At 38.1% G+C, this 15,798-nt stretch overlaps 2 protein-coding genes across 12 annotated transcripts in view; one reads left to right on the top strand and one right to left on the bottom strand.

Moving 5' to 3' along the window:
* The window catches only part of DCLRE1C (DNA cross-link repair 1C), a 57,074-nt gene extending 50,107 nt beyond the window's left edge, over positions 1–6,967 (top strand). For 3 of the 4 annotated variants that reach the window (NM_001350966.2, NM_001350965.2, NM_001350967.2), the window contains one exon: positions 5,014–6,967. In NM_001350966.2, coding sequence (NP_001337895.1) covers positions 5,014–5,076 — 63 coding nt within the window. In that variant the 3' untranslated portion in view covers positions 5,077–6,967. The remainder of the gene's footprint in view (positions 1–5,013) is intronic. The other variant, NR_146960.1, reaches the window with a different exon arrangement.
* The window catches only part of SUV39H2 (SUV39H2 histone lysine methyltransferase), a 25,450-nt gene continuing 9,662 nt past the window's right edge, over positions 11–15,798 (bottom strand). For 6 of the 8 annotated variants that reach the window (NR_034181.2, XM_047425741.1, XM_011519662.3 and 3 more), the window contains 4 exons: positions 6,809–7,480; positions 4,641–4,787; positions 3,064–3,193; positions 11–1,920 (listed from right to left, as the gene is read on the bottom strand). Coding sequence is in view for 7 of the 8 variants with exons in the window: in NM_001193424.2 (NP_001180353.1) it covers positions 1,814–1,920; positions 3,064–3,193; positions 4,641–4,787; positions 6,809–7,480 (1,056 nt within the window). In the remaining variant the exon portion in view is untranslated. The remainder of the gene's footprint in view (positions 1,921–3,063; positions 3,194–4,640; positions 4,788–6,808; positions 7,481–15,798) is intronic. The other 2 variants (NM_001193427.2, NM_001193426.2) reach the window with 1 other exon arrangement.

Raw genomic sequence — 15,798 nt, 5'->3', positions numbered from 1 at the left:
AAAAAAAAAATTTTTTTTTTTTGGAGACAGTCTTACTGTGTCACTCAGGCTGCAGTGCAGTGGTATGATCTTGGCTCACTGCAACCTCCGCCTCCTGAATTCAAGTGATTCTCCTGCCTCAGCCTCCTGAGTAGCTGGGACTACAGGCGTGTGCCACCACGCCCGGCTAATTTTTGTATTTTCAGTAGAGACAGGGTTTCACCATGATGGCCAGGCTGGTCTTGAACTCCCGACCTCACGTGATCCTCCTACCTCAGCCTCCCAAAGTGCTGGGATCACAGGTGTGAGCCACCACACAGGCCTGGCCCCCCATTCTGCAATTTTGGTTAACAGAATCTGAGGGTCCAATCATGTAAACAATTTATCCTATATATTATGAAAGAGTGAAGTTGTCATAGCAATATAATGAATAAAGTCTAGCTTCTCCCAAGAAAGAGCTAAAGATTAAGAAGTGCTGCATTCTTGAAGTTGGTTCAATTTTATCCAAGCTTATTTTAGGTAATCAAAGCCTGGAGCAATGAGCTTAGGTAAAAATTAGGAATACTGAAAGCTAGATTTGCTGCATTTATCATTTTCACAACACAATTAGAAATCTCAGAATCAGACATGAAAGAATAGTTTTTCCTGAGATTCAATACTATGTTGGAAGCCTCCCACTCCCTTGAAAACTAATATATTCTATTTTAGTCTTCGTAGGTTGACTAATAAAAAGGTCTAATAATTCAGGCACACACTTTGGCCAAGTTTAGCTTTATCACATCTAAAAAAAATTTATGTATAAAACAAGTATCAGTTCAAAAATATAGATTACTTTTTAAGAAGAACCTGCAGGAAGTATAAAAATATTAAATCTGGTGGAAAGGAACTGTTACACCTGCCTGAAATTGAGAGGCTGTAATGTTAATGTACATTACAGTATTGTTAGGTACAGCTGCTCTCCAGGCAGCTTGTTTTACCGTTTAGATCAGAGGTACTCGACACAGATTTCCAATTCATGTTACTAACAGGCGCCCTTAAAGTGCTCCATTCCCCTTGCTTGGTACTCCAAAAAACCATCCTGGTCCCATTATCATGTCCTTTCAAAGAAGCATAATGGCTAGCCATTTTGGACTTCTAGAGAGAGCTCTTCGGAGATTTTTCTTCTAGAAGATTAAGAAGTCTTTTAAGAATTACAGGTTCAGACATACACTCATCACAACAGTCTAGATTGCTTCGAAATACGAAATGAAGCTGAAATTAATTTTTACATTTAATTTTATACCTTAAATTTCTTTATCATTGAGGTGCCAATGTTTTAATGGAAAAGTAGAAAACAGTATAAAATTCAGTATCACCTATTTGTCTCAAATACAAGTACAGTGAGTATTAAACAGGAATGACAATAGAGTAGCAAAAACAGAACTGTAGATTTGCCCAAATTAACTGTTTCTCCGAATTTGAGGTGTATGGCAAGTTGAATCTTTGATCTCTCAGCAGTTGTTAATTACATTATCAGCTTAACGCTTTCAAACACTACGGGAGGCATTTCTCTGTTCACATAGACTTAAGTACACATATACTAAGCTGTAAATAGTCTGCCTTCCATTAGTTTGGTCTCTAAGCACTATAAATATGTCGACTTCATATCAGTCTATGAGACCCAGTGACCCCCTTTTCAGAGGCATCGGTAATACATTTGGCAAATGTCTTGAAACATGAATTGTAAATTAACATAGGTAGAACCTTGATAATAAGAGTCCCAAATATGTATTTTTAAAAATGTTAACATTAGGAAAAAAATATTATAATCATCAGCTCTATTTCCTGAAAAAGTTCAGTTGAGGTAACCTCTGCAAGTCACAGCTCCACATTTACATACTGTTCTGACCCTCTTTTTGGCTGGGCTGTGGTCAATAGAATCTGAAGATATATCTCCAGAACCTGAAGACACAGAAAAAGAAATATAGGAGAAAGAGAGTTAAGACAATTTAGAATAAATTTCAAATTTTCTATTATATTAGCTTTATTATCAGTGATAGAGGGTACTTACATGGTCAAGACCCTTAGAGTAAGTTAACTCCCAAGGAAATGTAGTTAGTTCCCTTTGAAATATTTACAAATAAATGTTAATATTCAGCGTCAAATCATAATGAATTGTCTTGAAAGGATGGTGTGGGTTAATAATAGGTAAACTTTATGTTATTAGCCCATATTTGTCAGAAAGGATTTCTGAAATGATGAAACTTACTGGGAATATCTAATACACATTCATTTCACACCGTATATAAAAGCACAGTATGTAAGAGGTTAAGCAATGACAATATGTAAAGGCCATCATTCTTAAAGGAAAGAAAACATTTATATTGTCACAATAAAGCAAATAGAATTAAATGTTCTTTTTAAAAGCCAGGTTCAAGTAGGAATAGAATAAATTTGTATGTGATTTAAATATTTTCAATCTTTTGAATATACATCTCTCAGTAAAAATTCAAAAATGTAGGCTTATAGTTTTTTTTTTCAGACAGGGTCTCTGTCGTCCAGGCTGGAGTGCAGTGGTGCTATTCACAGCTCAACTGTAGCCCCAACCTCCCTGTCTCAAGCCATCCTCCCACCTCAGCCTCCCGAGTAGCTGGGACTACAGGCACACGCCACCACGCCCGGCTAGTTTTTTCATATTTTGTAGAGACAGAGTTTCACCATGTTGCCCAGGCTGGTCTTGAATTCCTGGGCTCAAGCCCAGAGTGCTGGGATTACAGGCAGGAGCCAGCATGCTTAGCCCACAATTTAAAAAAAAAAAAAAAGACAAGTAGTACAGTATTAAGATGCTATAATAAATAAATCAGTTTCCAAAATGGAAGTTCTGAAAATTTACGATGTAGAACCATTCCTCAGCTGAAGCTCAGGCAGACCTGGGTTCTAGTATTAGCTGTTGGATTAGCTTTGTACCTTAGGATGACAAACTTAGTGCCTCAACTTTTCATCTTTAGTATTAGGTTTGGTTCAAATATCTAAGGTCTGTTCCTAGTCTGATTTGATTCTTCATATTGAAACTGACACCAATGAAACTGTACTTGAAAAGCATACCTTTCATTTGATAATCAAAAGTCAGCTCTTCTCCAGCATTTATGGTTCTTGTGGAAAACAATGCTATTCGGGGAAGACGAGTATCGAGGTTATCAATGAAAACATTGAACACCTGAAGATTTGGGTCACACTAAAAAGGAACATTAGAACCCATTTAAGTACAAACGGTGTAAACAAGCCCTTCTACATGCCATATAAAATGTTTACTTTCCTAGAGATTTAGTTTAAGTTCCACTGGAAATTAAGTTGCTTATTGCTTAGAGGTCTTTGAGGCATGCACATTTAAAAAGATTTTTTTCCCTTATAAAAACTTCAGACAAGTATAAAATAGAGAAAATAAGAAATCCCTATGTATCCACTATACAGCTTCAACAATTAGTAACATGCTTGCCAATCTTATTCCTCTAGTCCCAACTTTTTTTTTTCCTGGAGAATTTCAATACAAATCCCAGATAACATTATTATTTCACTGGTAACTATTTCAGTAAGGCATACACTTTAAAATAACTAGAACAACTGTGTTTAAAAAATCAAATCTGCACTACAGAACTCAAATTTTACACTGCATGGAGTTTCACTGCTTGAATTTTTGGTCCAAACTCTTCAATGTTTTGAGAATACTACAGTAAACTTACGGAATATGCAAGAAAAAAGATGTAGTGAGTCATACTAAGGAATCAAAACTGTTTGATGGCCCTGGATAGAATATCTCTATTTTGAGAGTATCTCGAATTTATCATTAAGAAAAAAATTCTTCAATGTTTAATCAACAAACAAGGGCCCAGAAGCTCTCTGCTAATCATACACCAATTTCTTACTATGAAATCCATCAGAAGTTTAACATGGTCTACTTCCTTTATATGTTCAGCTATATAACTTTGTGGCACACACTGTCCTTATTATCCACAAAATGCAGATAATGTCACCCTAACAAGCCTAATGTTTTACTGTCCACTTGCTACTTAGTAGGTAACCCAAAATTATTAACTTCCCTAATTTTTGGAAATTATTTAGAGTCCAGAATTCTGCAGTTAAGTGCCAGCTGTATTCTAAGAGCTTTCAGACATTAAAAGGTAAGGAAGAATACTAATTTATAATTTAGAAAAATAGCCCTACATAAATACTCTACAAATCTTTAAATTTTATAAAAAGTTAACATGTTTACATTTTAAGAAAATACATTTACCTTCAGTTGTACATCCTAAAATGTAGTCGTGTTAACTTCCATTAAGATACAGTTCTGTGTAATTCTTGGACATTTTACCTCTTAATTGCTCTGCTCATTGTAATATGAAAGTAATACCTACCGTACAAAGTTACTAGAAAGTTTAAATGAAGTAACATATGTAAAGACTCTTGTAAAATACACCCTATTAATATTTGGTAGGCACCTCAATGTTTAATTTTCCTAATACAGCAATAATACCATAACTTAACAGAAGCTGCCCTCCTTATAAAATACATATTTTGGAAATGTTAAAAGGATATGTAGTTTAAAGGGAATTATTCTTTAGCTATGGAAACTAGTACTAGGTTGAATTGTTAGTCGTGTCTAAAATTTACGTATGTCTTCTTACGCTGTGATTCACAAAATGAGACACATTGCCGTATCGAGCCGCATCCACTGTGAATTCATCAGACTCATAGTCCAGATCAAAGAGATACGTGATTCCCTTGTTGTCATAGAACTGTCCTCGTCTTTCAGCTTCTTCACTTGTGATTACCTAAACAGAAAAAACTGTAAGTATATTACGTAGCTACTGAACCAAAGAAGCATTCATCTACCTATCTACTAATATGCGAATACCTACAAATATTTAAAAAGTAAGAAATTCAGGTGTCATCAAAGCAAACATTCACACAAACTAAGACTCAGATGCAAAGAGGTGGGAAAATGAGGGGAAGAAAAATGATAATGCAAAAGACTGATGACCTTTTTTTTTTAAACAGGGTCTCACTCTGTCACTCAGGCTAGAATGCGGTGGTGCCATCATGACTCCCTGTATCCTTTAACTCCTGGGATCAAGCGATCTTCCTGCCTCAGCCTCCTGACTAGCTGGATCACAGGTGCATACCGCCATGCCCAGCTAATGATTTAGTTTTTATAGAGATGTGGGGTCTCACTATGTTGCCCACACTGGTCTGGAACTCCTGGGCTCAAGTGAGCCTCCAGCCTTGACCTCCCCAAGTGCTGGGATTAACTGTAACTGGTTGATTTATGACTTTTTAAACAGGATTTGAGCAGTACATTGGAACACTGCATTACTTTCATTATAATTAGGATGTTCAAAAAGCTATACAACTATAGCTCTCTACAGGACACAACTGAATGTTAAGGACTAAATCTGCAAGTATATGCTCTAAATATGATCCAGGCACATTTTTCCTATAACTTATATATATGCAGTTACAAATGGAAAATTGTTAAAAATACAGGGGAGAAGCTATGTTAACTTTGGAATGGAAGGTTTTGTTTTTGTAGAATATGTTATTTTCATGCAATTCTGTAAGTCTAAGATCGTCATCTACAGTTCTGCTCTTAAGAACACAAGTTTTATGACACGCTCGGCTTAAGAAACCAAAAGTGTCTAAAGTACTTTATGTTACCAACCAAATTTGGCTGCTGCACTCATTAAGAATGCAACTTAAAAAATTTTGGTTAACAAAAAGAGTAATTTGATTATACAAGATCTTGTATACTGAATAATTTATAATAATCTACCACTGTCTAAAAGTGTAAGAATCAAAACAGCCATCTAATTTAGTTTCAGAATTATAGATGAATACAGATAATTATAGGTGACCCAATTCCAACTAAAAAATCCAGAGTTGACAACTCCAGATATGTAGCCATGCTTGTGTCTTTCTAGTCACAGCTCAACCTACCCTTCAGTTTGAAGCAGTGTGGTGCCATGGTGAAGACTACTGATTTTAGAGCTTTGAATCTCGGTTCTTATTACTATGTGACCTGTGTGACCTTGGGCAAGGTACTCAATTTCTCTACAATAATGGACATAACAGTACTACTTCTCAAAAAAAAAAAAAAAAAAAAAAAAAAAAGAAACAGTACTACCTCACTGAGTTTTGGAGAGGATTAGTGAATTAATACATCAAGTGCTTAGAATAGTATGTGACACACGGCAAATACTTTTTACATTTATATATATATATACATATATATGATTTGTATACAAATAAATTTGCTAGTATTTGTATGGTAGTTTTGAGAATGGTCTTCACAGTTCAAAAGTAAGTTACAGATTATGGATGCAATAAATGCTTGTGTATATTTTACAAAACTCATAAATATAGTATCTTTCATGTTGATCCAAAATAGAGTTCTGCCAACTACATTTAATCATATTTGGTCAAATAGATGAAGTAAATTAAAACTTTCAAGTTTCAAAGCAGCATGTGTTACATCTGAGTTTCTTCTTAGGACTTTTGGGTAAAAACAGTTGTCATATTTTAAATTTTACAAATCCTAGGTTTGACTAGTAGGAATGTGTATTTGTTGAAAGATGACTATATCAATTTGTTTTAACGTATATTTTTTATTCATATAAAAGTTTTTTATTTCTAAATATGCCAGTGAACTCTTCTCCTAAATCTGAATAAATTTCTACATATCTGCAAATGAAAATATCAAAATGTACCAAGTATCTCTTAAAGAGATAAAAAGGTAATTTTCCAAAAGTATAAACCTTGCATGTCCATCATTTACTACGTGGCAAATGAAACATACCTCTCCAACATATTCCATGACAAAACTCATTCTTTTAATCTTCACAAGGGTCTTTACACCCCAGCCACGTCCATTGCTAGTTCGAAAGATGCAAAGCGAATACTGTGTGCCTTTTTGTACAATCCTATTGGGACAATCAGGACCACACTGACACCTTGAGTTGCATTCATAGATGGGAGTACCAGGTGGGATTTTAATTTGTTGGTTTTTATTATAAGCCAAAAGAACTCCAGCTTCAGCAGGACAACATTTTTGAAAGAAGCAATCTGTGCATGAACAACCAAAGGTAGCTTCATTGACTAAGCTGATTCCAGGAGCTGGTTTGTATTCGTTAATGTAATAGAAGTCTGAAGGTGGGCCCTCTAAATCAACAGTATTTTCAACAAATATCATTCCTTTATGATTCTTTCTTCTGTTGAGTTCATCTTGCCATCTCTGCAGAGCTATCCTTTGTTTAGCCTTCTTCACAATGTACTCAGCAATGGCAGGTTTCAAAGTTTTGTTATTGTCTTTTGGAGTTATTGCTTTGCCTTTCTTTACCTGAGATAAATAATTATGCTTGTCATTAGAGAATTGCTGAAGCAGTAACGGGCACTTCAGATTTTGCAAAGGTTCCCAAGTATTTGTAGAATCTGGCCATCCTTTCCATTTTACAAGATAATATTCCATATCCTTAAAATACAAAAGAAAATAAAATGCAAATCAGACGGCTATTTCCCAGTTTTACCAAAAATAATTAAAAATCTTAAAGAGTAAGGTATCCAATACCATTTTTCTTACTAACAGTTCAGAACATGTAGTCACAGGTTCCTAACACATGAAGTATAAATCATACAAATAAAACTATTTTTCCTTATATTACATAAAATATGGAATTTAGATGTGGCATAACATGTTTGATAAGAGGCTAAAGAGTTTTACCTGGAAAAAGACAAAGGTACTGAAACTGATGACTATGTTACTAAATGGTGATTCAGGTTAAACCCAGATGTATTTATTTTGATCATGGAAATAAATGGTCCCAAAGCTAACTCTTTATGACCTAGGTTAGTGGCTTACTTGGCCAGCAATAGATTCAGGCATTCTTAACGTCCATAACTTAATATCAAACACCAGACACAAGGGAACTCATTTCTCAACATCATGGGCACACATTCTCTAGATGTTCTAGAGATGAACTATCCAATACGGTTATTACGAGCCACATACAGCTACTGAAAACTTGAAATGTGGCCAATCTGAATTGAGATATGCTTAAAATATAATACACACTGAGGCTGGGCACGGTGGCTCATGCCTGTAATCCCAGCATTTTGGGAGGCCAAGGTGGGTGGATCGCTTGAGCCCAGGAGTTCGAGACCAGCCTGGGCAACATGGGAAAACCCCATCTTTACTAAAAACACAAAAATTAGCTGGGTGTGGTGGTGCACGCCTGTAATGCCAGTACTAGGGAGGGTGAGGCATGAGAATCGCTTGAAACTGGGAGGCAGAGGTTGCAGTGAGCCAAGATTGCACCACTGCACTCCAGCGTGGGCGACAGAGTGCGAGACTCAGTCTCAAACAAACAAAACAAACAAACAAAAAAAAAAGCAAAAAAAAAAAACCCACACTGAATTTTGAAGACTTTGTATCATACAAAAAAAAGAACACTAAGTAACTTAAAACTATTACAGGTTGAAATAATATTTTGGATATATTGGATCAAATACATTCTTGAAAGCAATTTCAGCTGTTTCTTTTTACTTTGTTCAATGTGGTTAGTAGATGTTGAATGGCATCTGCAGCTTGCATTACATTTCTATTGGACAGCTCTCTTCTAGAGAATGCTGATTTTATTTAGACTCACCCATGACTGGATTAGGTAGCAGGCACTCAAGCCACCTAAGAGCAACTATTCTAATCTATCCCTCAGACTGTTGTTGGCCACGATGCCTTGGCAACAAGGCACCATGGTATCTTGTCTTTTCACTCCAATGACTATGTTTTCCTCCCTTAAAGTAAGGCAATGCCACGTTTAAGTTTCTTTTTAAAAAGGCAGTTCCGGCTGGGTGCGGTGGGTCACGCCTGTAATCCCAGCACTTTGGGAGGCAGAGGTGGGTGAATCACTTGGGGCCAGGAGTTCAAGACCAGCCTGGCCAATATGGCGAAACCCTGTCTACTAAAAATACAAAAAATTAGCCGGGTGTGGTGGCAGGCACCTGTAATCCCAGCTACTTGGGAGGCTGAGGCAGGAGAATCGCCTGAACCCAGGAGGAGGAGGTTGCAGTGAGCCAAGACTGTGCCACTGCACTCCAGCCTGGGCAAAAGAGTGAGACTCCATGTCAAAAAAAAAAAAAATAAAAGTAAAAAATAAAAGATAAAAAACACAGTTAAGTGTGTCTAACAAATTTTGAAGTAAAGTCTCAGTAATTTTTTTTTTCTTCTGGAATAATATATAGCCACATGCCCAAGGGTAACATTAGATCATAAAATGTCTTCTAAGATAAAAAGGTGATTAAACTGCATTGGACAGTTACATTATCATTTTAAGTCTTAGATACTGAAAAATCTTGTTAATTGAGATAACTGCTTTTCCCTGAAAATTTTAAGAAAGTTTTTATTACAAAGTACAGAGGTCCATGACAGTTGTTTTAACAGTCATAATGCATTAATGACAAAAGGTCTAAGCCATGTGATATCTGCCATGTTGCTGAGGCACAAATTGGGCTGAGGGACACCATGAGGCAGCTGTGCAGGAACCAGGCGCCCACCCAGGAGTGGGCTTATTTTATCCCCACTATCTGCATCTTAATATTTTGTTTCATTATATTCTATTCAACAAGCAGTAATCTTTGTGAATTAAAAACTTTGCGGCCGGGCGCGGTGGCTCACGCCTGTAATCCCAGCACTTTGGGAGGCCGAGGCGGGCGGATCACGAGGTCAGGAGATCGAGACCATCTTGGCTAACACGGTGAAACCCCGTCTCTACTAAAAATACAAAAAATTAGCCGGGCGTGGTGGCGGGCGCCTGTAGTCCCAGCTACACGGGAGGCTGAGGCAGGAGAATGGCGTGAACCCGGGAGGCGGAGCTTGCAGTGAGTCGAGATCGCGCCACTGCACTCCAGCCTGGGCGACAGAGCGAGACTCCGTCTCAAAAAAAAAAAAAAAAAAAAAAAAAAAAAACTTTGCTTTCTTTTGAAAATTGGTCAAAAGTTTTCTTCTCTTAAAAAATGTGATTACATGGTGTGCAGAAATGCACAAAAACTGTAATTCTGTGGAAATATATATTGCGGTTCCAGGAAAAAAAAAAAAAAAGCCTAGATGTACATTTTAGTATTTGTCAAATTGAGCCCCACTAAAGCCTAAGGATTTCTTCCTCCTTTCAGGTGACCGCTACAATTCAGGACTGCTGTTAGTGGGTATCTGTTCACACTCTAGCAGATACAAGATCCAACTGGCAGCATCTAACTTTTCTACTCCCCTTAATTCTAAACATTTTAAATTTTTCAGATGCTAGAATAAAGCAATGCAACCCTGGTCCTTTTTCTTTTTTTTGGCTACAGTGTTTCCTATCATAGCCCTGGGTTATGCCAAGTGTTCCAGCAAACAATCAAAGAAATAGAAATGATGGCTTTAAGTCAATGGTTAAATCATCCAGGAACACTAAAAACATCTGCCACTGAAGTTATTTCCCAAATAATTAATTGTATTTAATCTTAGTGAATCACTTGCATTTTAAATGACCAAGTTTTGTATGCTAATCACATTGGTACCTACTTGAATTTATGAACAGGAAATATGCTTATAAAACATGAATGCTTATAGCAGACTAGCATAGAAATATTAGTAAGATTTTGTTTCAACTTGGTAGACTTGACTTTTATTTTATAAGCATATTTTATTTTTAAAATCCAGAAAAGATATTTCCTCTTTGAAAAATGATTTTACACAGAAAACCACTTTAAGAATAAGCTAAAATGCCAAATAAAGGCCAAAAAGTTCATAAGCTTATTACATCAATATCTTATTCTGATATGTAATCAACTCTTGATTACCTATAGAAATGGAATCCCAGTGGCAAAAACGATCCATAAATCACTCCTATGTAATTTGGAATACATCATATGAATTTTTTTTTAAAGCCACTTCCCGGCCAAGGCGGGTGAATCACGAGGTCAGGAGTTCGAGAACAGCCTGGCCAACATGGTGAAACCCCATCTGTACTAAAAATACAAAGGCCGGGCGCGGTGGCTCACGCCTGTAATCCCAGCACTTTGGGAGGCCGAGGCGGGCGGATCACGAGGTCAGGAGATCGAGACCATCCTGGCTAACACGGTGAAACCCCGTCTCTACTAAAAATACAAAAAATTAGCCGGGCGAGGTGGCGGGCGCCTGTAGTCCCAGCTACTCGGGAGGCTGAGGCAGGAGAATGGCGTGAACCCCAGGGGGCGGAGCCTGCAGTGAGCCTAGATTGCGCCACTGCACTCCAGCCTGGGCGACAGCGAGACTCCGTCTCAAAAAAAAAAAAAAAAAAAAAAATACAAAAAATTAGCTCGGCATGGTGGTGGGCAGGCACCTGTAATCCCAGCTACTTGGGAGGCTGAGGCAGGAGAACTGCTTGAACCTGGGAGGCGGAGGTTGCAGTGAGCTGAGATCAAGCCACTGCACTCCAGCCCAGTCTGAGTGACAGCGCGAGACCCCGTCTCCAAAAAAAAAAAAAAAGACATTTCCCCCAACTATCTTCGGTGTCAGTTAAAGTCATTCAAATATTTTAGGATCTATAATAAGTATATGAACGTTTGGTCACTAGGGGGTATAGGGAAATATATTACTAGCCTTTAGGAGTAAAATCTCTTAGGGAAGAGGCAGCAGTAATGTGAAATAAGTAGCAACCTAAGGCATTATCACCAGAATATAGAGGGAAATCAATGCAGCTGAGACAATGAGAAAAGGGAAGACAGAAAGCAGTACACACTACACTCTGAAGGAGTGAGAGCAGTGATTGAGTAGGGAACATGGCAGGATGAAAAACGTGGGCAAAAGCTGGGAGCTAAGATTTGCATGAAGTATCTAAAAAATAGTGAAAAGATGGATCTGTCTAGCTTTAAGGTTCGGAATGTTGAAACAAGCTAAAACTTGTCATGGTAAGGCAAGAACAAATTTTAAACAACCATAACACTCACTTCACTGAGACACTTGAACTTTATTGTAGGCCGGTGGTTCTTAAAGTTCTCAGAAACCATGGTGCCTCTAGGGGAGCTTCATGAAGTACATTTAACTCCATCTTGTTAGTTAGGAACAATTTTACAAATCTATTAATTGCCAAACCCACGGACTCTTCAGCCCTTCTCTTATTTTACCTCTCTAAGGCGGCAGCCACCACCTAACCATTTCTCAGACTTCCTTCTTGCTCCTCTGTATTTTCCTTGCTGAGACTGCTTCCCCTGACCATCACTTACACGATGGAGACACTCAGGACCCTGTCTGGCATCCCTTTTCACATGAACCTGTTTATCCCTTTGGAGAATGTGATGAAAGCGATGGACTTTTCTCTAACAAAAACCACATATAAAACGTTTTGGGTAATTTCAGGATATTTAGATTCCGGGTTTAGAGAATTCCTACTACAAACGATCTCTTTGGACAACCTCATCACCCCAGAGTTTTAACTAATAATTATATGCTGATGACTCTCCAAGTTTTAACTGCAGCCCAATATATCCAATAGCCTACCGGATGGTTCTTAAAGCAACCTATCGACATGTAACTCACCACTGTCCTTCCATATCAGATTATTTCTTTATTCCTTATCATGGTGAATCTTACCTGTCCACCTACTCACACAAGCCAGAAACCAGGTTATCTCAATTCCTTCTTCTCCTCAATCCAATCATCACTAAGTTTCTTTAGAGATGGACTTCTTCCTGTCCATCTCTATTTCTATAGGGTTAGTTACTTCAGGCCCACAATTCTTGCCTGCATTCTTAAACATTAATCTTCCAACTAGTTTCCCTACTCCAGACTTACAGCTTCAAACACTCTATCCTTCTTTACTATGGAGTTTTTTTTGTAAAAACAAAAAATCCACAAAACCAGTTATCCTGTTGTTATTTTGCTTAAAAACTGTTAATGGTTTCCACCCTGCCTAGGGAACAAAGTTCAAAGTTCCTCTTTTCAGAAAGCAAGCCACTCTGGAACTGTTCCCTGATGCCTCTCTGGCTCCATCTTCCATCATGGCCCCATTCACACAACACACACTGGCCACAATGAACAACTTGCCAGGCCTTTTGATGCCCCTGCTGCTTTGTTCACAAAGTTCTCCCTAATTAGGAGGGCCTTTCCCACTGGTCCAATGAATGCTCATCTCATCTTTTAAAACGGTGTAAATATCACCTCTTCTATGAAGTCTTTCCTGTCTCTCATACCCAAGAAGAACTGATCACCATCAACTCCTTTTTGTTCCAATTTCCAATTTAAACTCTAAGTTATTTGCGGGAAGGGATGGAATCTTATTTTTTATAGCCCCCAAATGAGCACAACTGCCCACCATATCTTAGGCTGTGACTAAATGTTTCTGAATGTATAACAAAAAAATAGGAGTACCAAAAGGTATGTAATATACAAATCACAACAATAACTGTATGAGTTCTTAAAGGAAATACAAGCTGATAAACTTGGAGGTAGCAATTCACGGTTTCTCAATATTTGTCACCTGCTGTCTATAGCCAACAAGTGGCAGCAAACACCAAAACTTTAAAAGAAACATATGAGAAGACAAAGTACAAAAAAATTTTGTCTTTCCACTAGGTAATTTTTTCTGCCAATTTTGAAATAATCATCATATTCAATATCAGTGTTAAAATAACCTGCATCTGGCTGGGCACAGTGGCTCACTTTGGGAGGCTGAGGCAGGAGGATTGCTTGAGCCCAGGAGTTGGAGACCAGCCTGGACAATATAGTGAGACCTTGTCTCTACAAATTAGCAGCATGTGGTGGCACATGCCTGTGGTCTTAGCTACTCAAGAGGCGGAGATGCGAGGATCGTTTGAGCCTGGGATGTCAAGGCTGCAGTGAGCCAAGATCAGGCTACTGCACTCCAGCTTGGGCAACAGAGTGAGACCCTGTCTCTAAATAAATAACTGGAATTTGATTATGAAAACACCAGTGGTTCCATGGGAGCATAGTCTGAGAACTATTATAGTCAATGGAAAAATCACTGAATTTTCATGCCAGTAAGAGTAGGAATTGTGATAGCTGGGTTAGACACCCAGAATTGAAAAAAGTGAGCCACATGACATTGATTGTTAAAGTATTTTCTTAGAGCTGTAATTTCCTGATCTCTCAAATACAGGTTGTAGTATAATGATTTCTGTTATTCTAGTTCTTAACCACTCTAGGTTCAATCAGTGTTTCAGGAATATCACTATATTGTCAGATGTGGACTATCATTAATTTGTGCCACGCCATATAGAGGTGGTTCTCGAAACACAAAAGTACCTGTATACTTTAAGAAACCAAAGCTATAGGCAATATTTGTTGCTCAGCTTACTAAGCTATGTGCATGTCCATCAATGTGTACAGAGGATCTTGTTCTTAACTGAACTATCTTAAATACCCATAGTTTTGTCAGAAATTATTCTGTATGAAGGGGTGATGTAGCAACAATAATGCTGCAGAAAAATCACCTTGCATTGAGACTCAATACTACTACAATTAACACCCTTTAAGTTCAACTTGACCCTTCACATGAATTCATAATAGTAACAACCCTTTTTCCTGCCCCCACAGAATTTTTTCCATTTCTCAAGTTGGCTATTTTAGACCTCCTCCACTTTGCTCAAGGTTCCCACCCCTACCTCCTGTGTTATTTTCAGTGATGTATGACCTTTGTTACTAATGCAAAGAGAAAATGGAAACCACCAGGCATTAACTGCCTTAACTGCCAGCCTTCCATGGCCATGGAGCTAGAGATAAGGTGGATGCAGACATGAAAAGAGAGACGCACTTCCTCGGTCAATTCTTCTTGTCTCTTCAGTATCTCCCTCTGCTGGTTCTCACTAGCATTTAAACAGGCTCCATTTTTAAAAAGCAAAATAAAACTAAACCTCCTCTGAGATATAAACTTTTGTATATGTAGGGAATCTCTAAAAGACATATTAAGTTGCTAAGACAGAGACTGAAACTAGGTCATGGGGTAGATGTCAGTATCTGACCTTTTATAACATTCATTTTCTAAAACTACATGCATAATACCTCCTCAAAATTAAAAAAAAATTACTATCACAATGGTCTTTTCAAAAAAACTTGAAAAAAATTATAAACACCCTTATACCCATGTAGCCCTCTCGTTTTCTTGAAAGCTAGGATTCATGGAAGAATTGTCCATACTACTTGACTCTACTTTCTTACCTCCGGTTAATTTTTTTTTTTTTTTTGAGACAGAGTTTCACTCTTGTAGCCCAGGCTGGAGTGCAATGGCACGATCTCAGCTCACTGCAACCTCTGCCTCCTGGATTCAAGCTATTCTCCTGCCTCAGCCTCTCAAGTAGCTGGGATGACACGAATGTGCCACCACGCCCGGCTAATTTTGTATTTTTAGTAGAGACAGGGTTTCTCCATGTTGGTCAGGCTGATTCGAACTCCCGACCTCAGGTGATCCGCCTGCCTCAGCCTCCCAAAGTGCTGGGATTACAGGCGTGAGCCACTGCACCCGGCCTGGTTCATTCTTTAATTCATTCCTTTGGCTCTTCTCAGAGGTGCTCTAAGGGCATCAGTGACCCTCCATTACTAAATACAGTGGATTCTTTCCAGTTCTCTGACCTACTGTTTAATACTCTCCTGCTGACATCATCTTTTCTCTGGTTCCCATGATTTACTCTTCCCATTTTCTTTCTTTTTTTTTTTGAGACCGAGTCTCGCTCTGTCACCAGGTTGGAGTGCAGTAGTGCAAACTCGGCTCACTGCAACCTCCGCCTCCTGGGTTCAAGAGATTCTCGTGCCTCAGCTTCCCA

The sequence above is a fragment of the Homo sapiens genome, chromosome 10 (assembly GCF_000001405.40).
Source record: "Homo sapiens chromosome 10, GRCh38.p14 Primary Assembly".
NCBI lineage: Eukaryota > Metazoa > Chordata > Mammalia > Primates > Hominidae > Homo > Homo sapiens.
This window is presented reverse-complemented; position numbering and strand designations above follow the sequence as displayed.